Source organism: Homo sapiens, chromosome 10, assembly GCF_000001405.40.
Source record: "Homo sapiens chromosome 10, GRCh38.p14 Primary Assembly".
Taxonomy (NCBI): domain Eukaryota; kingdom Metazoa; phylum Chordata; class Mammalia; order Primates; family Hominidae; genus Homo; species Homo sapiens.
This window is the reverse complement of record NC_000010.11, coordinates 68,331,545-68,351,820: the sequence shown is the minus strand read 5'-3', so window position 1 is coordinate 68,351,820 and position 20,276 is coordinate 68,331,545. Positions and strand designations below refer to the sequence as shown.

Sequence of the window (20,276 nt, the reverse complement as noted above, 5' to 3'; positions counted from 1 at the left end):
CCTCCCAAAGTGCTGGGATTACAGGCGTGAGCCACCTTGCCAGGCCGTATCCTCATACTTTTCAAGAAGATGGGGCCGGGTGCAGTGGCTCACGCCTGTAATCCCAGCACTTTGGGAGGCCAAGGTGGGCGGATCACAAGATCAAGAGATTGAGTCCATCCTGGGCAACATGGTGAAACCCCGCCTCTACTAAAAATACAAAAATTAGCTGAGTGTGGTGGCACGCACCTGTAGTCCCAGTTACTTGGGAGGCTGAGGCAGGAGAATCACTTGAACCTGGGAGGTGGAGGTTGCAGTGAGCTGAGATTGCACCACTGCACTCCCGCCTGGGCGACAGAGCAAGATTCCGTCTCAAAAAAAAAAAAAAAAAAAAAAGATGGGTGGAGGTTGGGCGTGGTGGCTCACGCCTATAATCCCAGCACTTTGGGAGGCCAAGGCGGGTGGATCACAAGGTCAGGAGTTTGAGACCAGCTTGGCCAACATGGTGAAACCTCACCTCTACTATAGATACAAAAGAAAAAATTAGCCGGGCGTGGTGGCACATGCCTGTAATCCCAGCTACTCAGGAGGCTGAGGCAGGAGAATTGCTTGAGCCCGGAAGGTGGAGGTTGCAATGAGCAGAGATCATGCCCTTGCACTCCAGTCTGGGCAACAGGGTGAGACTCCGTCTCAAAAAAAAAAAAAAAAAAAAAAAAAAATGTATGGATACATGGATATTTGCCAAAACCATCATTATGTAAACTCTAAAAAAAGTTTTGTGAAATATGCATATAAGAATGCATATATAGTACAACTTAAAAACACTTGTGGGGCGGGGCACGGTGGCTCATGCCTGCAGTCCCAGCACTTTAGGAGGCCGAGGTGGGCAGATCACCTGAGGTCGGGAGTTCGAGACCAGCCTGACCAACATGGAGAAACCCATTTCTACTAAAAATACAAAATTAGCCGGGCATAGTGGTGCATGCCTGTAACCCTAGCTACTCAGGAGGCTGAGGCAGGAGAATTGCTTGAACCTGGGAGGCGGAGGTTGTGGTGAGCTGAGATCATGCCATTGCACTCCAGCCTGGCAACAAGAGCAAAATTCCATCTCCAAAAAAAAAACCAAAAACAAAAAAACACTGCGTATCCTCCGCTTAGGTTAATGATAATAGAACATGACCAGTACCTTAGAAGCCTCATCTGCTTCTTGATTGCACTCTCCTCTTTATGGCATCTCTCCTGTATTTTGTGTTAATTATTACTTTGTTTTGCTTTATACTTATTACTCACATCTGTCTTTAACAGAATATTATCTGCTTTTCTCAGTTTTTTTATGTGGAAACTGGATTCATATCTGAGTTGACTTTTTTTTCTTTTCCATGCTGTTGACCAGCTGAAGGGTCTAGAACAGCTGTCCTAAACAGTTTTTCACATTCTGGATTTTCTCTGAATGTTTGTTTGCAGTGTTTGTTAACTTGTTCCTGTCTACTTGTTGCCTGTGAACTGGAAGTTAAATCTAAAGCCTTGATTAGGCCAAGCATGGTGGCTCACGGCTGTAATCCCAGCACTTTGGGAGGCCGAGCCAGGTGGATTGGCCTGAGGTCAGGAGTTCGAGACCAACCTGGCCAACATGGTGAAACCCCATCTCTACTAAAAATGCAAAAATTAGCCAGGCATGGTGGTGTGCGCCTGTAGTCCCAGCTACTTGGGAGGCTGAGGTAAGAGGATCACTTGAACCCGGGAGGCGGAGGTTGTAGTGTGCTGAGATCCCACTACTGCATTCCAGCCTGGGCGACAGAGCGAGACTCCATCTAAATAATAAAATAATATGAAAAATAAAATAAAATAAAGCCTTGGTTAGATTCAGGTACAACCTTCTGGGGGATATTTTTTCTGCAGGCATATTTTTAACATTCAGTGGGTTATTATTTGCTCATTTTTCCTTTTAAAAATAGCGTCCTGTTATATTTTGTCTTTGATATTATTATTTAAAAAATTTTTTCTGGCCGGGCGCGGTGGCTCACGCCTGTAATCCCAGCACTTTGGGAGGCTGAGGCGGGCAGATCACGAGGTCAGGAGATCGAGACCATCCTGGCTAACACGGTGAAACCCCGTCTCTACTAAAAATACAAAAAATTAGCTGGGTGCAGTGGTGGGTGCCTGTAGTCCCAGGTACTTAGGAGACTGAGGCAGGAGAATGGCGCGAACCCGGGAGGCGGAGCTTGCAGTGAGCCGAGATTGCACCACTGCACTCCAGCCTGGGTGACAGAGCGAGACTCTGTCTCAAAAAAAAAATTTTTTTTTCTTTAAAAAAAAATTTTTTTAGAGACAGTGTCTCTGTTGTCCAGGCCAGGGTGTAGTGACTCCATCATAGCTCACTGTAACCTTGAACTTCTGGGTTCAAGCAATCCTCCCCCCCTCAGCCTCCTGAGTTGCTGGGACCACAGGTGTACATCACCACACCCTGCTAATTTTATTTTATTTTTTAGAGATGGTGGGGGCCTCACTGTGTTGCCCAGGCTGGTCTCAAACTCCTGGGCTCAAGCGATCCTTCCGTCTCAGTCTCCCAAAGTGGTGGGATTACAGGTGTGAGCCACTGTACCCGGCCTCATTATCGATTCTCTGAAGTTTTCTCAAATGTTGTGATATCCCCCAATTTCAATAAAAGGCACAAATAAGAGTTATCGGAAACCTTGTGTGTGTATTGGTTGGGTGGGTTGTTAAAAACTGGTAGGCCTCACCATAGAGAAATCTGCTATGATTAGTGAACTATTGGGTACCCTCTACAAATGTTTAGTATTTACAGGACTTTTCTCTGTGGCAGTTGAATTTCTCCAGAGAAGAATCCTGTAGTATCCTATCTAGGGGGTGTAAGTCTAGCAGCTAACTTTCTGGAATTGGGCAGAGAAAAATTGCTGTTTATTTGCAGAGCAAGAGGTTGTTCCGTTCTAGTCTTAGCTCTTCTGGTAAACGGCTGTTTCCTTGAGCAGGCAGCTTCAGCTCTCTAGGCTTTAAGTTTTCTCATGTGTAAAATGAGAGGGCTCCAGGTGCTCATCTCTGAGATCCCTTCACAGGGACACACTAGGCTTACTTTAAAGTGAGCTTCTCTCCTGGGAGGGCGGCAGGTAGTTTCAATGAAAAGAAGTCTCCAAAGGCCTAGTCTCCATGTCAGCAAGGTTGTTTCCGAACCTGATGCCCTTACAAGCTGCTTCCACTAGGTGGCTGTGGGACATTTGGCAAATCACTTTGCTTTGTATGGTTTTCATCAAGTTGGATTATCTTTTAGGGTCCCTTCCTGCTGCTGCCTTTTTTTTTTTTTCCCCTCAGAGACAGAGTTTCCTCTGTTTCCCAAGCTGGAGTGCAGTGGCATGATCACAGCTCACTGTAACCTTGAACATATGGGTTTAAGCAATCCTCCCACCTCAGCCTCCCAAGTAGCTGAGACTACAGGTGCATGCCACCATGCTTGGCTAATTTCTTTTCATTTATATTTTTTTTTGTAGAGATGGGGTCTTGCTATGTTGCCCAGGCTGGTCTTGAACTCCTGGTCTAAAGAGAGCCTCTCACCTTGGCCTCTCAAAGTCTCAAAAGTGCTGGGATTACAGGTGTCAGCCACTGCACCTGGCCCCCGTCCTGCATTAAAAAAAAAAAAAAAATTCTATGATTCAAGCTATCTGACTCTTTGCTGGTGTTTGTCTGATATGAACTATCTAGTTAAAAAAAAAAAGCCCTTATAATCCTGTGTTCTAAGGAGAGTTAGGCTTCCTCATATGCAGTAACCAATACTGTATTATCTCTGCTGTATAATAAGTGCTAGTTATTAAGACTGTGAAACAAAAAGACCTGAAATTAACCTTGTGATCTTGATCTGTGAATGCTTTGTCTTTTTTTTCTTCAAAGAATTCTGCTTTTGGAAAAGTCTTAAGAAAACTCTTGTTTTTAGAAATGTATCTATGGGCCTTTTTTTCCTAAGAGAATTTTTCTCTCATTAGGTAATAAAGGTTCCTGTGCTTCAGTAGTAATTGATAGGTTGCAGTTGCTCCATGTCCAGGTTGGAATCTTCAGTTATACTTGGGTTCTTTGGTCTGGGCTGTTTTAGGAACATGTTTTAGGAAATCAATCAGTATTGAGGCTCCTCCTTCATCTGGGTCTTCTCATTGTGAAACTGATAATCATCTAACAAAGTTGCCTTCACAGGGGAAAAAAGGTCTTTCTAGCCAAGATTGGTTAAGCAAGCTGGTTAACAATGGGTCAAGTAGGCTGGGCCTGGTGGTTTATGCCTGTAATCCCAGCACTTTGGGAGGCCGAAGTGGGCGGATCACCTGAGGTCAGGAGTTTGAGACCAGTCTGGCCAACATGGTGAAACCCCATCTCTACTAAAAATACAAAAATTAGCCGGGCATGGTGGCGTGTGCCTGTAATCCCAGCTACAGGGAAGCTGAGGCAGGAGAATCACTTGAACCTGGGAGACGGAGGTTGCGGTGAGCTGAGACTGCACCACTGCACTACAGCCTGGGCGACAGAGTGAGACTCTCTTTTCAAAAAAAAAAAAAAAAAAAAAAAGGGTCAAGTTGTCATAAATACTGCTTAAGACTACTTACATCCATTTTTTTACTAACGTTTACATAGCAGCTATTAAATATGTTATAAAAGTTGAGGGAAATAGCCATGTAAAACTTTTAAAGTGAGGTCCTTTTTTTTTCCCCTCTTTTTCTTGAGACAGGGTCTCACTCTTGCTCAGGCTCGAGTGCAGTGGCACTCAAGCCTGAGTCATAGTTCACTGCAGCCTCAAACTCCTGGGCTTAAGCGATTCTCCCTTCTCAGCCTCCAGAGTAGCTGGGACTATGGGCTTATGCCACGCAGCCTGGTTAATTTTTTTGTAAAGATGGAGTCTGTTCCCCAGGCCAGTCTTCCTGGCCTCAAGCAATCCTCCTGCCTCGGCCTCCTAAAGAGGTCTTATAAAATAATGAACTCCAATATCTGATTTCCCCAATTTCCTTCAAATTTTAGGGTCTTAAGGTATAAGTTATACATAATGCCAAACTATTGCATTTTACACAGTGAGAATTTATCCTTAAATATTGTTGGACTAGGATACCCCATTCTCCATGATGTGCTTATTTCGTATTGCATGCCTGTATCAAAACATCTCATGTACCCCATAAATATGTAACTACTATGTACCCACAAAAATTTAAAAAATAAAATGTTGTTGTACTATTTTAAGGTTTTTTTCATCTTTAAGGTTCTTTTCCTGAAGAGAATTCCCATCAGCAACAGATTATCTCTTTAAAGCATTTTTACATGTTATATGTTCTAATATATACAATTGTATAGAAAAGAGCAAAATGAACCATTACCCATTTCAATATTTATCATGTGCAGTCTTGATTTTTCATTTTTTCAATTTTTATTTTTTAAGAGACAGATTCTGTGTTGCCCAGCTTGGTCTTGAACTCCAGGCCTCAGGCGATCCTCTCACCTCAGCCTCCCAAGTAGCTGGAATTACCGGTGTGAGCCATTGTCGCCTGGCTGCAATCTTGTTTTTTATACTTAATCCACATCCCACCTCCCCAACCCAGAATATTTTGAGGCTAATTCCATACATATTTACATATATATACATCTCTCAAAGAAAATAACTTATTTTCCATTCTTCATATATCTATTCCTATAAATAATGTTCTTGGGGGAAAAAGTTTTCACATTTAATTTTTAGTGTTACCAATTTGAGCATTAATATTTTCTTCCTACTAGGGACTGGTTTGGCTGAAAGACAAAGAAGCAACACATTGTAAACTTTGTGAAAAGGAATTCTCACTCTCTAAGAGAAAGGTAAGGGAGATAAGAAGTGAGTCCAAAAATTTGGAGTGCAAAAATGCTAATTTTATTTAAAGTGTTTTTTTCCCTCTGATTTTTCTGTTTAATAGCACCACTGTAGAAATTGTGGGGAAATTTTCTGTAATGCCTGCTCTGACAACGAACTACCTTTGCCTTCTTCACCAAAACCAGTACGGGTTTGTGATTCCTGTCATGCACTGCTCATTCAGAGATGCTCATCTAACTTGCCCTGAGACTCCAGAACTAAATCCTTATGTATGAAATTACCTACAATGAATGTTATGATGTTGTATACAAAGGTAACCAGACAGCTCTCCTTAAGCGGCTTTCGGTCAGTATTTGGTACCAGTTTATCTTCTACATATTCAGCTCATGGAAATTACAAGTTATATATTTCCTTCCCCATTGTTTTTCAAAATGTATTTTCAACAGAGCATGCTTAAAAATCATGTAACTCATTAAAAGGCCAGAGAGCAGAGCTAACACAACTTGCCTTATCTTGTAAAGGCCTTAAAAATAAGGCTTCAGATTGTTTTTTTCTTCTGAATTCTGTCAATTTGGTATTTGATGGTGCCTGCAGTTCTCTTAATGCACTTTAAAGCTTCACAGTTCTGAAACTGGAAACGCATAAAACTTTTAAAATTATTAATATTCTAATTCAACAGATTTTCATTATCTTTGTAAGATTTCAACTATATTTATTTGCCCTTTCTTCTCCCCCTCTCCCTTTGCCTCTTGCATTAGACAGGGCCAATATTTTGTCCTACAAAATTTCCTCTTGGTCTCTTTAAAAATCAGTTATTGTCGTGCTTGCTGAAGATTTTCAGCTACAGTGGATTAAATTAAAGGGGGCATTATTTGGCCTCGGCCTCTACTTTTTTCCTTTTAATCTTGAAAGGAAGTTACATATAACCATCTTTCTTTTCCTGATTTATAAATCTTCCCATATGCTGTTTCATTAAATTGCTGTTTTTTTAAGGGGTGACTCAGACCCCAATTCAAAGATGAAAACACAAATCCTTCCCCAGAAAAAAAAGTATGTAATAGTAGGGGATGTTACAGGCTCCTTATAAAGGTCCTCTCCTCTAAGCATTAAAAGTGAGAAAAAAATCAGGACTTTGCTTTGGTAATGTATTAGAGTTCAGTTCAAAAAATTTTGTATTAACATTTTCATTGGAGTAAATTTTAGGAAGTATCACATTGTAGTGGCCTACCTGTATACATCCACAGTAAAATTTCACCATGTCCATTGAGCACCTCTATGCCAAGGGTGTTGAGATGATGAAATATACACTTGACCTATTTCTTTTTTTTTCGAGATGGAGTTTCACTCTTGTTGCCTAGGCTGGAGTGCAATGGCACGATCTCCACCTCCTGGGTTCAAGCAATTCTCCTGCCTCAGCCTCCCAAGTAGCTGGGATTACAGGCGTGAGCCACAGCACCTGGCCAGTACACTTGACCTATTTCAAGCTGACTCAATGAACACTAATCCAAGTTATATTGCTTATGGCATACTAAGAATTTAACTTGTATAAATTACCTCTGAATAGTTACATAAACACTATCACCATTCAGTATCCTATTTTTTACATTAATTTTTAACCATGCACTTTAAGTTTGTGAGCCTATAAAAAATACATAGAAAATTTATGGATTAAGAGCATTATATTTAGTGGTTAATCCTAGGTACCTCCCTGCCTACAAAGGAGTTCTTATTAATACTGCAGGATCTTTTCTTCATGAATATATGCTTCCATGAAATTTAAATTTTTCTGAATAGCCTAAGTATGAAATGAATATTTTACTTGAAGATCTATTTTTTCCAAAACCCGTAAATTTCCAGTCAGCTTTTGAGGTGTCAGATGTGACACAGATTTCTAGATGGTCTTTCTTGAATACTGACAGAAATGTCCTCAAGAGAGGATTATATTCTTGAACCATTTTGTATTGATAGGTGGGATGGGCTAACATTTTTATGATTACTGAATAAACAAAAAATGAAATTTTCAAATATGCTTTTTTATTACTGTGCTTAGAACAAATTTTAAAATGTGACTTAAGTTGCTTAAATTCCAAGGCTAATTTCATTCAACAAACCATGATTTTGTCATCCTTTAAGTAAGTTTCTCACTTTTCAAAACTCATGTATCAACACTGACTGACTTGCTTTTTTTTTTTTTTTTTTTTTTTTTAGGCAGCTTTTATGACAGCAACTTGCTCCATGTAGTTTTGGCTTATTTAAAAACTATACTAACTTTGGATTTTTCTGTTACAAGACTTTTAACAATCTGTATTTCGTGATTGTGAACTCGTATTCATTTTACTTTTCAAAAACAGACTTAACATACCATTCCCTCACCTAGCAGTACTACCACAATAATGCTATCATGGTGCCAGGGAATTACAATTGTAATTCTTCTAACCTATAATGTTTAAAAAATAAAATGTGAATTTTATGAACTAAATAAATATTTGGAAAATTAGCCTGCTTTAAAAGGGCAATTTTGGTTTCATTAATACTGTATACTTTTACTGCTTTAAGATGTTAAGAGAGTAATCCTGGGAAAATAAAACACATACAACTTTCAAAAAAGACAGGTGGTGTATGCCCTAATATTTAAATTGCTCATTAAAGGAAGTGGATACAAGCATTAAGATGAATCATAGCTTCAGTCAAGAGGCTCCACATATATAGGCTGCCCCGGCTCCCTCTCCTAAATCATAGACATCGTATGTAGTACCACCTTCTACCAATTTGATTTTAGAATTAGTAACTGACACAAAGCATTCTAGGACAGACGCCATACTATTATCTCCCACAATGACATTTATTAATAACATTTCTGGCAAAAACAAGTAACAAGTTCAATAACTGAATTCACATCAACAGGTTTCATTTTGATCCATTAGCCAATTTGGAAAAAAGCCATATTGATCAAAGGGATTAAAATTAAAAAGCACCTTTTCCTTGCTACATATAGATTCTTTAAACTAAAACTCCAAGCAGGGATCAGATACAAAACCCAACTGCAGGATTGTTTTTATTGACTATGACATGGACTTGTTGCTTACATTTTTTTAAAGTCATCATTTATACAGTTATTTAAACTCTATTGGGCAGAAAACTGAAAATACAATTGTGAGAATTATACTCCATAGTAAATACCTATGTACTTAATACTGAATTCTTGTGTCACTGAGAACCTTAACCCTACTCTAAGACATCTTGCGATAACCTGCAACTATCAATTTTTTGGAGACATTTTTGGTATTTCGGTCAAGTGCTGAAGGGGTTTTACTCCAAAATCTAGGGCTAGAATTCAGCTTCCAACACTCTCATACCCAGGTAACACAATTATGAATATTCAGAAATCAATACCTCTTAGATCATCAATGTTTCAGAGCTATGCCTGATAAATGACATTTGAAAAATAATAATATAGAAATAATTAGCTGAATTTATACTCCTGAAGCCACTTCATCTTTAGGCTTTATATTTACAGTGTTGTCCAGGAGGAACTAAAGAAAAAAGTTACACTAATTATTTGTCAAGCTCTATTCCAGATGTCTGCTTAAGACTTGCAGTTTACGCAGAGGTGAACCATTATCCTCTAAAATTACACCACACTACTTCTTGTAGAACTAATAGTAAAATACATCAACCCAAATCTTATGAAGGCAGCACATCTTTAGGAGTAACTAGTATATAAAAAGTATCAACATCAGTGGTTTGAATATAAAAATTTATTTTTAAGTCAAAGTATGCAACAAATAAACCTACAGAAAACATTTTCCCATCACAATCTGTTGCTTTACCAAATAATATTTTGAAAACACATTCCTTCAGTCATTATAAAGTTCTTAAAATACAAAAGAAATTAAATCTGTAAGAAAGTCTAGTAGACCAGATGCTGTTGTCAAGACTTGTATGTTGGTGTTTTTGCTTTCAGTACATCCCACGCCATCCACCTCCACTCATGCCGCCTTGCCCATAGTAACCTCCACTGCCTCCACCACCACGGCCTTAAGAAAAAGATATTAAGAATCACTCAGCAGGAGATATCTGCATAAAATAATAAAAGTAATACCTGCACTTTAAAGTTTGCACTACATATGCGGACTAACACAAACTGAACTAGAGATACTTACCATAACCACCCAAACCATCAGGAGTACCATATCCTCCACTGTAATTGTTCCCCATTCCCATTCTTCCAACTGATCCATAGCCTCCCTGATTATCTTTAAAAAGAAAAAAGAAAAAAAATTGAGACTCATCGATAAGCAGCTAACCCTGCATATTTTAAAAACTTTACATACCCATTCCATCTCTTCCGTAGCCTCCCATTCCAGAACCTCCCATGCCAGAGCCGCCTCCAGGAGTAGAATTCAAGAAGAGTTCAATATATCGATGTTCTTTAAGAAAAAAAGAAAGAGTAACAGGGGAGAAAGGAATGATGGATAAAATTCATCAATACAAGCTTTGTAAAAAAGATCAATTAAGTAATATTAAACAAAGTATGCTTATTAATTACTAGTACAGCGATATATAAAGCCCACAGAAAGCCATTATAGAGGTCAAATGGTTTTAAATCCCAACAACTGCCAAGCGTTACCTACAGATCTTAGAGCCTCTTATTTTATAAATTCACGTTTAGGAAATAAGATTGTGTGCCAAAGACACCACTTACGCATGTTATTTTTATCTTTAGACATGGCAGCTACTGCATCTTCATGTGTCACAAACTCTACATCTGCTTCTCCTGTGGCTCTGCCATCAGCTCCAATATCAATATGAACTCGTATTGGATTTAGTGGTGAGAAGAACTAAATAAAAGGAAACACTTATTTACTTTTCTATTGAGAATATTAAAGTAAATTACCACATACCTTGATTTTTCCTCATCAATTAAAACAAACCCTTCCACTGCCCTGTCAGACTAATAACTTAGTCAACTACAGAGGTTCTGTGAATATCAGAGTATACACTTAGGGATAATGTAAAGAATTTACTGCTTTTAAAATAAGCAGATAGGCAGGGCGCAGTGGCTCACGCCTGTAATCCCAGCTACTCAGAAGGCTGAGACAGAGAATCGCTTGAACGCAGGAGGTGGGAGCTGCAGTAAGCAGAGATCACGCCACTGCACTCCAGCCTCAGAGAGACAGAGTGGGAGACTGTCAAAAAAAAAAAGCACACAAACACACAGAGAGAAATACGGGATATCATGATTTGGAACTATGCGGTTTGAATAAAGCCACCTATTTAAGACTATATGAAATTGTTCCCCAAAAGATATCATTTGGTTCTAATCACAAGTTAGCCAGGTTTTAAACTATCATTAAAAGCAGTTGGAACTCAGGCCAGCTGATTCCCAGTAAGATCTAGAGCACACCATTGCTTTTAAAGCCAGAGTCAGTACTTTTGGCCTGAATGGCCATTGGGTCTCTAATGTAACCACTCAACAGGTAGAGGAATGGTGTGACCGGATTTAGCCCATGGACTGAAGTTTGCTGACCTCCTAACAAATCTGAAACCAACCAGTTTCACATCAGTGACAACAGCAGCATCTATTCCTGTTATTTCCAACTCCTCAGTTTCTAATCACCATCTAGCCTAGAAAGCCAAACCAAATCACTAATATTTATATATTCACTCTTTCAAACCCTAATACAGGTCAGGCGCAGTGGCTCACGCCTGTAATCCCAGCACTTTGGGAGGCCAGGGCAGGCGGATCATGAGGTCAGGACCAGCCCGATCAACATGGTGAAACCCCATCTCTACTAAAAATACAAAAAGTTAGCCAGGAGTGGTGGGGTGTGCCCCTGTAATCCCAGCTATTCAGGAGGCTGAGGCAGAAGAATAACTTGAACCCGGGAGGTGGAGGTTGCAGTGAGCCGAGATCGCGCCACTGCACTCTAGCCTGGGCGACAGAGCAAGACTCTGTCTCAAAAAAGAAAACAAAACAAAAAACGGTACAACAAAAGACACCAGCACAAAATGGTATAGTCATCACCATTCTATGCTGATCAGTCTTTCATTATACTCTTAACTGGACTTCACGAATGTAGCTTTTTACTTGTTTGAATCCTATGTAGGTTGACACACAATGGATACAAAAATATCCATCAGTGATTAGAATTAAAGGTAGATCTAATTAGCCAGGCGTGGTGGCGGGCACCTATAGTTCCAGCTACTCGGGAGGCTGAGGCAGGACAATGGCGTGAACCTGGGAGGCAGAGCTTGCAGTGAGCCGAGATCACACCACTGCACTCAGCCTGGGGGACAGAGCAAGACTCCATCTCAAAAAAAGAATTAAAGGTAGATCTATTTTTATATTCAAGGGATTTTGGTATTAAGCTATAAACATGAGAACATTAAGAATGCTTAAAGATTTAGACACCAGGATAAGTATAAAACCACTAATAGTTATTAAAAATTACTCACATTAGCAATGTCATTTTCAGTTGCACGAAAAGGCAACCCTCTCATATGTACGAAATGACCACCATGAAAACCTGAACTTGCATCACCAGCTCCACCATAGCCATGTCCTCCCATACCTGGAAAACACAATTTGCCAAGATTATAAACTATTACAGATACAAGTAGGGAAGTATACATACATACTATACAAGGTATAAAGCTCTATATAGGAATGCACTGAAATTTGTCTGAATTAACTTTATACAAGTTTCCTATATTACCACTAAGAGCTTGCAAAGCAAATACTAAAATTTACCTATGAATAAAAATGTCTTTAATATTTATTTTACCTCTTCCATCTCTCATTCTGTCATCAAAGCCATCATTCCCATAGCCGTAATTATTATAGCCACCATAGTCATCAAAACCTCCATAACCTGTGTAATTTAAGGAGAAACACATGACTACACACTTTCCAGAGATAAATTTTATAATTTAGTTTACAAAAACATTTTGTGGTAACAGTCTGTGTAACTTGATTGCAAGTTTGCAATTCCCAACTTAAAACCTATGAAAAAAGCAGTCAACGTGATGGAAATTTAAAATCTCAGAAAGTTAATTAAGTTCAGACATGTAAATTAAATTTCATCCTTAGGCAAAAAAAGGTCAAAATATGCCAACATCTTAATTTTAATTTCTGTGTAAGTTTTCTAGGTGCCAATATGTGCATCAGTCAAGTCCCACAGCTAGCCATGGGAATCCGTATTTTCATGAACAGGTTTTAAAACCTAATAGGTACTGAAATTACTGCCATTTCTGTATTTCTTGACAAAGTGTCAGGAACATTAAGAAAATGACAACAGAACCTTTGTTCATTAGATACACATACCACCATCATATCCATCACCTCCTCGTCGCATTCTGTCATACATACTTCCACGCCCAGCTCCATAATAACCCCCTCTTCCTCCTATTGGTCTATCATATGGTCCCGGTCGCTGTCCCAGCAATCTTCTTGGTGGATCATAAAATCCTTTGATTTCACTCCTGCTACTTCTGAAGATCTCAATATACCTATTTAAAAATGTTTTAAGGTACAGGTTTCAGCATAAATGTATTAGTGTAAATTAGATACTGGGCAAAATGCAGTAAGTTTTTCTATATCTAGATACATAACCCAATTTAAATTGCCTAAATACACCGTAAGTTAACAGTTTAAACCTACAAACTTAATTAAATATTTAAGTTTTACAAAGAAATTAGTCACGGAAAACAATTCATAAAGTATATTTTTACTTTGTCTCTTTTAGTACATAATAGGTGTTTTAAAGGAAATAGGTGATTATACAAAAGCATTTATCAACAACATCCTACAGAGAAATGGAAACAATCTAATTTTAATTTAACTATTAGCATTAATTCCCCACCCAAATCTGTAGTTTCCAAGTTAAATTTAGATAATTATCAATTCTTTTAAACTACCCCAGAAAAATGTTATGGCTACCCCCCCATTTAAGCAATAGTGACCCACAACCCCCAAAAATAAAAATTTAACACCATCCCAAACTCTCCATCCCCACCTGTGCCCTATTCTTTCCTTGTGTTTCCCCAGAGCATTTTCTGCTATCTCCTTTGAAGCAAACTGCACGAAGGCCTCCCCTGTGCTTCTCCCCTGGTAGTCCATCGTCAATGTTATCCCATTTGGCACGATTTCCAACCCTTTAACCCAAGGACAAATAACCCCATCAAGGGGAACAGTGTTAAAGGCTGAAACATTCCCATCTGAATCAAATATTTAAAACAAGTCTAAACAAAACAAAACAAAACAAAAAAGCTTAGTTTCCCATCACCCCATAATACAAATGAAAGATTTTTTCAAATATTACTGGATTAAATAAATTTTTTGCGACCAGTGTAAAAACACTGTGTAATTACACACTCTAAAAGCCCACCTATATTACATGAAAAAAGGCTACAAAATCAAATATATGCTCCATATACTAATTCACGGTTCATTTCATCACAATTCTCAAATATGTTACTGCACATTAACTAGGTTTTACATATTCTACACATTCTGTATTGAATATTAACTGGAGCATATTATTTTAATACATTAACCAAGACTATCATAGTTAAACTTAAAAGTTCCAAAATCAAATGGGTTTTACAAATTAAAAACAGTAAAACAATACAAATATAAAATTACAATACTACTAAACTTTGACTAATACTAGAGGTACCTTGAAAGAACTGAACTATTTCCTCTTTGCTGCAACCAAATGGTAGTCCACGAAGTCGTACTGTCCCATCACTAGCGTCATTTGGACCATTATGTTTCATAACCCAATCCATCTCAATACCGTTTGATTTAAATGCTATAAAAAATAAACAAGCACATAGAGCAGTCAATCAAAATATACTCTTGTCAAGAGGTAATGAAGAAACACCTCTCAGAGGTGCCACAAGAGGAAATGTAACATGGGGCCAACTGCTGTGACAATGCCACAACAAAATTGTAGACCACCTTTCATATTTTGGGGTACGGAAAAGGCAATGAGACCTGACCCCCTCCTACGGAAAAGTACTGAATTTCGTAGTATCAATATTATATATTGCCTAATTTTAAGAAAACTTGCATAATTCTACTACCAGAGTCTTCAAACTATTTGTGTCCCCTGAATGCCAACTCTAGCCTTTCCTTATCTCTCAAATTTTCATTCACCACTTTTCAGGTTTTTATTCAACTGATTATTCAAATTCTTTAAAACTTATTCAGAAGTTGCATATAATACCAGTATCCACTAACATCAAGAGCCTAAGTAAAAAAATGCAATGAGTACTGATTGACGTTGGACAAATATCACAGAAGTCTAACCCTTTTAAATGCACTACAATTTTGAACACATCAAACTGTCTTTGAAGGGCCAACACTCCCACCTCTATTTTAGCCAAATCTAGTTTAAACTCACCAAGAGCAAGATTATAAAATGACTGAATTAATCAGATTAAAACTGAGGTCAAAGGCCACTCAAAAGTGAATGCCTTCCAACAGTACCTGTGTTTTTGAAGCCACTGGAGACAGTGTTTAGAAACCAGTTTACTCAAATTTTTAATCAAATAGATTTAAACAAACTTTAATAGGTAATATACTTTTTAATAAAGCATAAAAGGTACATCTAGAAGCCCCCCTTCCCCTCCAAAATAACCTCAGTTCCCAGTTCCCTTCCCCAGAGGCAACCATCCTTCCTTTTAAAATTCCATAATATTTACAAAAGAGGTGAATGCAGAAGTCCTTCAGCTGCAGAAACTTACCAGAACCTTACAAATCTCACTATGCAGCTGTAGGAATCCTACTCACCTGAGTATTTCAAACCTTTCCCTCACCACCTCCTCCCCTGTAAACAAAGTTTGTTCATTTGATTCCTTTATGTTTGAAGATCATATTTCGTATCAACAGCATTCACTAATGCTTAATTTCATGTCATCTATTTGTTGGTGCATCTCTTAGGGGTGGCATCTGCAAAGGGTAAAATATTTTTCCCTAGAATTCATGCACTTAAAATAAGCTAATGTAGAAATTCTCTGGAAGTAGTTAAGTACCTCTAGTGTCAATCACCTTCAGCCCTAGGTGCCACTCTAGACATAGAAAACCAAAATGGGAATACAAACTTTTAACTGACATTACAACTACTTGTTATGCACACAAATAAATATTATGAATGTTCTGGGTCTGAATCCCTACTCTGCCACTCACTGGCTACCTGAACCACTTTACCTCTGAGCCTCTTCAATTGTAAACTATAGCAGTTGTACCTGTACCTCACTGGACTATTCAAGTGCTTGGTCTGCCTCATGGTAAGCATTTACTGATGGCAATTGTTACTGGACTTTAAGGGGCCCTGCAAAAGCCAGTGAGCTATACCATACACAAAATATGTGAACCCTGAAGGACAGAAAACAATTCAAGCCTTGAAAAGAACTGAGAATTATTAAAAATTTTATTTCCCAAAGCCAGCAAAGGCTTTTATAAGTTTAATACTATTCTAAAGAGTAGCTCTGAGAGGAGGCGGCCCCAATCCAGTTTGGGAAAAAAAAAAAGTTCAGAGATGTTTTGAAAATGCCTACCGTTTTATTTATTTTTTTTAAATAGCACCAACCTAAAAAACAAGTGTTTCCCATAAACGGTGATTTACACAGAACGGAAAAAGTGGTACAGATCTACCCTCACTGCTTCATGAAAAATTGAAGAACTCTGCAAATTCGACCTTAATCTGTTGTGAGAGGATCTTAGTGGTACGATTTGCATTTAAGGAGCAAATGCTTAAAAAAAAAAAAAAAGAAAAGAAAAAGAAAAATTAATTTACCCATAAATCTTAGCAATTCACAGGAAAAAATTACTAGCAAGCCAATTGGATTTTTGGATCAGTCTGTACCAATGATAAGACCCAATGAAAACAAAAAAAGTGTTATCAGTGTTATCTGTAAGAAACACTAAACTGTTAACACAATTTTTAATTGCGGAAAACCCAACCGAACTCGGAACACTTAATCTATTTTATAGGGTGACTGTGTATGCAAAGCACATACAATAAAAACAGCCTCACTCTACCAACCCCTTCAAAACTAAAAATCCTACCTACAAAACAAAAACAAGAAAAACTCTAAGGGCACAGGAAGAAGCAATCTGCTCTAATAAAGCTGTCAGAAACTACTTAAAACAGTTTACTAATTATTCAGGATAATCCACCTCAACCTTTCTTTGCAACAATGTCATGGCTAATCACTACTCTGCTTTAAGAATTCTAGGTGCTAGTACCAATAAAAGATACCACAGTTAAAATATGAGGATAGCTTTGGTCAAGTTTTATGAGACTTTAAGTATAATTTTCTAAACATTACACCAAGTGAAACAAGCCAGTCACAAAAGACTACATATTGCATGATTCCATTTCTATTCATGATTGTCTGAGGCTTGAGGGGAGGGAGGATGCCAGCAATGGGAATGACCAGTAAAGGGTATGGATATCTTTTTGGAGTGACAAAAATGTTCTAAAATTAAATTGTAGTGACGGTCACACAACGCTGTGAATGTACTAAAATCCACTAAACTGTACATTTAAAATTGGTGAAGTTTACGGTATGTGAATTATATACCAAAGTCGTTAAAGAAAAAAAATCCACTAAAGAACAAATGAAATAGAGAATCCTCTTAACACGGAGGCATAGCCTATCTTCTGAAGTAATACATAAAGGATTTTACATCAATAAATAACTTTCTAAATGGTAGCCCAGTGGTCAAGAAATGAGAATGAATTTTATTTTTTGGAAAAAGTGCTGATGATTTAAGTTTAACAGAAAATTTACATCATTCCTTCCCAATGGGCTTGCTCTTTACAAAAACAAAAAACTAGACACACCCCTAATAGCTTAAGGAGGTAAGGTCTCTAAAATGTTAGTTCACTAGAACCAGGTTTTTATCTACTGCAGTTCAGTCAGTTTACCAAAACAAGGAAATCAAAGATAACATTATTTTAAAAAGGCAATTAGATGGATTTCCAGATAACGGCACAAATGAAAAGAGGACAGAAAAAAGATGTGTAGTCCAATCCAATTAGTAAAGCTATTTGTTATATCATATATAACTTTACAGGACAGTCTGGACTATCTCTTCAAAGGGTCACTCAAACCTACTGTTTCAAGGTAAGATTTTCGTAAACTTTTCCTTGGCAATCTTGAGAAAGCATCACTGAACATCTTCAATAATAATAAGTTTTTGTTTTTAGAGCTGGAAAAGTAGGTAACAATATTCTTATAAAGTTTTACATGAATTATCAGAAATTCTTACTCTCAGGCCTTTCTCCTCCCTTTTGTACTGTCTTCAATGAAAATTACGGATCCAGTTCTCAGGACCCTCATCCGAATCACACCACCACCACGTGACTGGGTTTACAATTTGTTTTTATGTTTAGTAGGCTTATTCCCTTGTTTAAAATACGATTACAGTGTACTATACTCCTACACTAAAGAAAAAACATGCCTAGCTACCAAAAGAAAATAAACCATAACCGTATTTTGAAGTATTTTACTTCTAGAGCCTTAATGCCATCGGAAAAAAAAACTGCACAAAATACAACTCTTGGAAGATTTAACATCGAAAGCTCAATTTCAATACACACACATCTACCATCACTGGGTTGTTTTAACTGTTTCCCAAAAGTAAAACTTAAAAACAAATTCTAACATATATACGCCAAACTACGCAAAACAATTGCTACATCACCCACCCCCACCCCGAAAGTTCAAAAAGCAACAATTATAGTTCACTGGGCCCAGACGACCTACTTGAAACATGCCCATTTCACATTCCTATTTGATAAATCACCCACTTTTCTGCTCACAAAATCATCCCCGAAGTCCTTATTAACGTTTAAACATGAAAAAAAAAAAACCCTTTGGAAAATCAGTACGTACTCTTTTCGAAGTTCCAAATCTGGAATATAAGGGCCGGCTAAGCGTCCTTTATTCCTCCCAGGAGACTTTCCGTTTATCTAGCTGCCCTAGAGACCAGAAAGCTAGGGAGAGTACGCCCCTTCCCCCTCCCGTCAGCAGCCAAGCCTGGCTTAAAACCCTTCGCCACCGGGCGGCAGAATTACAAAGGAGGCCGTCTGCCTCCTTTGTCCTGGATTTGGGAGTTGAGCACCTTCGTCGCCATTGGCTTTCCTCCCCCAGCTCCAGCCTCTCTCATCTTGGGAATCTGCGTCAGAAGTCACTCGCAGTCCCGTCAGCCCAGGTAGCCCTGCCGAGACTGCGGAGGAAGGGAGGCCGCGGTGGGAGGCCAGGCCCATCCGGCGCCATTTCCATCGGGAGCGCGCCCGGCAAACCCGATCCTCCCTCCACCCAACTGCCCGGCCTTTCCCTGCTCGCTTCACTACCCACCCTCATCCCTTCCAGGGAGCTTTGACCACCCCCTCCCCTGGCCTTCTAGATCAGTTTTCGGAAGCTGGGGAACAAAAAAGTAAAAAGAGCGGGGAAGGGCGGGAAGCCGAGGTGGCCGCGCCACTGTACCCAAAATGGCGGAGGCCAAGCCAGCAGGGAAAGGGGAAAATGCTGGATGTCCCCTACTTCGGGCCTCGGCGTCGTCCACTGAATTCCACCTGAGCAAGTCCTCCCATCGGCAAGCCGCCCTCCCTGAAGTGGGAGATGGTCGGGGAGGCGCAGCCCCGCCGCTTCCAAGCGGCGGCCTCCGAGCGGCGACCACCCCACTACCCCCCAACCCAGCCCCTCCCGGCCTTTCGTCCTTCTCCCGACTCCGCTCTCGAAACCACCAGCCCAACCTACCCCCTTTTACTTCAGATACCCTGTCAGGCGATAGTTACGCCGACTCTGGTGCTCGCGGGGTCCAGTTCAAAGAAGGGAGAAGTCGTTTGCCTCGTGTAGCGCTCGCCACAACGGTTCTCCCAACCGTCTCCAGCGGTGACAACCGCTTAGGGAGCTGCGCAGCACAGCTACTGGCTTGGGGGGATGGGAGGGAACGAGCAAGAAGTGGGGGGCGGAGCGAGAACTGCGAAGGCGGCCGGCCCCACTCTCGCGAGACGGGAAAGTCGGTTTCGCATGGCGCTGGCGGCACGCAGCGCGCCTGCGCGGTGGTGGGTTGCGCAGCTGTTGGGGGCGAGGTAGACCGAGCAGAGGCTGTTCCAGTTAAAGAGCTGCAGCGCGCACCGTTTTTCTTGCTTACGTTAGAACCATCCAGTTTTCAGAGCGTACCATTCTGCCGCCTCGGGGCGATGGCAATGGCAGTTCTGCCAGTGTGTAGAAGGAACCGTGCCGTAGCGCTCTGGAGAAGTTCTCCGGTGATCTGCCCCCACCGTGAACAAATTCTGTGAGGGCCCCGCCCTGGCTAGGCATCGACGGCGCGGAAAGGGCCCCACGTGGTTCGACCGGCAAACGCGGGGCGGATTTTCTGGTCCACCATGTTTGCATTGTGCGGTGAAAAATAGGAGTGTTTCTGGGCCGCGAAGATGAAAGCGTC

The 20,276-nt window shown here is 39.8% G+C and overlaps 3 protein-coding genes across 41 annotated transcripts in view, besides 8 other annotated features; 2 read left to right on the top strand and 1 right to left on the bottom strand.

Annotated features, from left to right (window-relative positions):
* Nucleotides 1-10,709, top strand: part of RUFY2 (RUN and FYVE domain containing 2) — a 66,166-nt gene extending 55,457 nt beyond the window's left edge. For 12 of the 14 annotated variants that reach the window (XM_047425448.1, XM_005269957.6, XM_047425446.1 and 9 more), the window contains 2 exons: nucleotides 5,737-5,814; nucleotides 5,910-8,413. In XM_047425448.1, the coding sequence (XP_047281404.1) occupies nucleotides 5,737-5,814; nucleotides 5,910-6,053 (222 nt within the window). In that variant the 3' untranslated portion in view covers nucleotides 6,054-8,413. Of the gene's footprint in view, nucleotides 1-5,736; nucleotides 5,815-5,909; nucleotides 8,414-10,532 lie in introns of those variants that run through there. The other 2 variants (NR_103476.2, NR_103475.2) reach the window with 1 other exon arrangement.
* Nucleotides 8,625-20,128, bottom strand: HNRNPH3 (heterogeneous nuclear ribonucleoprotein H3). 21 transcript variants are annotated; one of them, NM_001322438.1, is made up of 10 exons: nucleotides 19,967-20,128; nucleotides 14,488-14,622; nucleotides 13,825-13,963; nucleotides 13,179-13,318; nucleotides 12,595-12,681; nucleotides 12,266-12,381; nucleotides 10,512-10,647; nucleotides 10,141-10,236; nucleotides 9,970-10,062; nucleotides 8,625-9,843 (listed from the first exon to the last, which is right to left on the bottom strand). In NM_001322438.1, exons 2-10 carry the CDS (start codon nucleotides 14,597-14,599, stop codon nucleotides 9,767-9,769), a joined length of 996 nt encoding a protein of 331 aa, NP_001309367.1. In that variant the 5' UTR covers nucleotides 14,600-14,622; nucleotides 19,967-20,128; the 3' UTR covers nucleotides 8,625-9,766. The 21 variants fall into 21 exon arrangements, with proteins under 21 accessions (NP_001309367.1, NP_001309374.1, NP_001309363.1 ...); NM_001322434.2 differs by lacking the exon at nucleotides 19,967-20,128 and adding an exon at nucleotides 19,586-19,757 and having other exon boundaries at nucleotides 8,628-9,843; nucleotides 13,134-13,318; NM_001322442.2 differs by lacking the exon at nucleotides 19,967-20,128 and adding an exon at nucleotides 19,586-19,757 and having other exon boundaries at nucleotides 8,628-9,843; nucleotides 13,152-13,318.
* Nucleotides 12,061-12,230: an enhancer, noted in NCBI's record as "experimental_16571 CRE fragment used in MPRA reporter constructs". NCBI's record gives its function as "activates a minimal promoter by MPRAs in K562 erythroleukemia cells, with activity observed for the introgressed 10:70099433 variant allele {active_cell/tissue: K562}" and the evidence as "EXISTENCE:reporter gene assay evidence [ECO:0000049][PMID:34662402]".
* Nucleotides 17,957-18,126: an enhancer, noted in NCBI's record as "experimental_16564 CRE fragment used in MPRA reporter constructs". NCBI's record gives its function as "activates a minimal promoter by MPRAs in K562 erythroleukemia cells, with activity observed for the non-introgressed 10:70093537 variant allele {active_cell/tissue: K562}" and the evidence as "EXISTENCE:reporter gene assay evidence [ECO:0000049][PMID:34662402]".
* Nucleotides 18,417-19,230: an enhancer, noted in NCBI's record as "NANOG-H3K27ac-H3K4me1 hESC enhancer chr10:70092348-70093161 (GRCh37/hg19 assembly coordinates)". NCBI's record gives its function as "activates a minimal SCP1, AML or CMV promoter by ChIP-STARR-seq in naive and primed H9 embryonic stem cells {active_cell/tissue: H9 hESC(naive and primed)}" and the evidence as "EXISTENCE:reporter gene assay evidence [ECO:0000049][PMID:30033119]".
* Nucleotides 18,878-19,107: an enhancer, noted in NCBI's record as "active region_3464". NCBI's record gives its function as "activates an Ori minimal core promoter by ATAC-STARR-seq in GM12878 lymphoblastoid cells {active_cell/tissue: GM12878}" and the evidence as "EXISTENCE:reporter gene assay evidence [ECO:0000049][PMID:35858748]".
* Nucleotides 18,893-20,276, top strand: part of PBLD (phenazine biosynthesis like protein domain containing) — a 50,269-nt gene continuing 48,885 nt past the window's right edge. For all 6 annotated transcript variants that reach the window (XM_017016513.2, NM_022129.4, XM_011540060.4 and 3 more), the window contains exon 1: nucleotides 18,893-19,037. The gene's annotated coding sequence lies outside the window, so the exon portion shown is untranslated. The remainder of the gene's footprint in view (nucleotides 19,038-20,276) is intronic.
* Nucleotides 19,231-20,045: an enhancer, noted in NCBI's record as "NANOG-H3K27ac-H3K4me1 hESC enhancer chr10:70091533-70092347 (GRCh37/hg19 assembly coordinates)". NCBI's record gives its function as "activates a minimal SCP1, AML or CMV promoter by ChIP-STARR-seq in naive and primed H9 embryonic stem cells {active_cell/tissue: H9 hESC(naive and primed)}" and the evidence as "EXISTENCE:reporter gene assay evidence [ECO:0000049][PMID:30033119]".
* Nucleotides 19,318-19,367: an enhancer, noted in NCBI's record as "active region_3463". NCBI's record gives its function as "activates an Ori minimal core promoter by ATAC-STARR-seq in GM12878 lymphoblastoid cells {active_cell/tissue: GM12878}" and the evidence as "EXISTENCE:reporter gene assay evidence [ECO:0000049][PMID:35858748]".
* Nucleotides 19,695-19,989: an enhancer, noted in NCBI's record as "tiled region #82; HepG2 Activating DNase unmatched - State 1:Tss, and K562 Activating DNase unmatched - State 1:Tss". NCBI's record gives its function as "activates a minimal TATA promoter and a strong SV40 promoter by Sharpr-MPRA in HepG2 and K562 cells {active_cell/tissue: HepG2 | K562}" and the evidence as "EXISTENCE:reporter gene assay evidence [ECO:0000049][PMID:27701403]".
* Nucleotides 20,088-20,217: an enhancer, noted in NCBI's record as "active region_3462". NCBI's record gives its function as "activates an Ori minimal core promoter by ATAC-STARR-seq in GM12878 lymphoblastoid cells {active_cell/tissue: GM12878}" and the evidence as "EXISTENCE:reporter gene assay evidence [ECO:0000049][PMID:35858748]".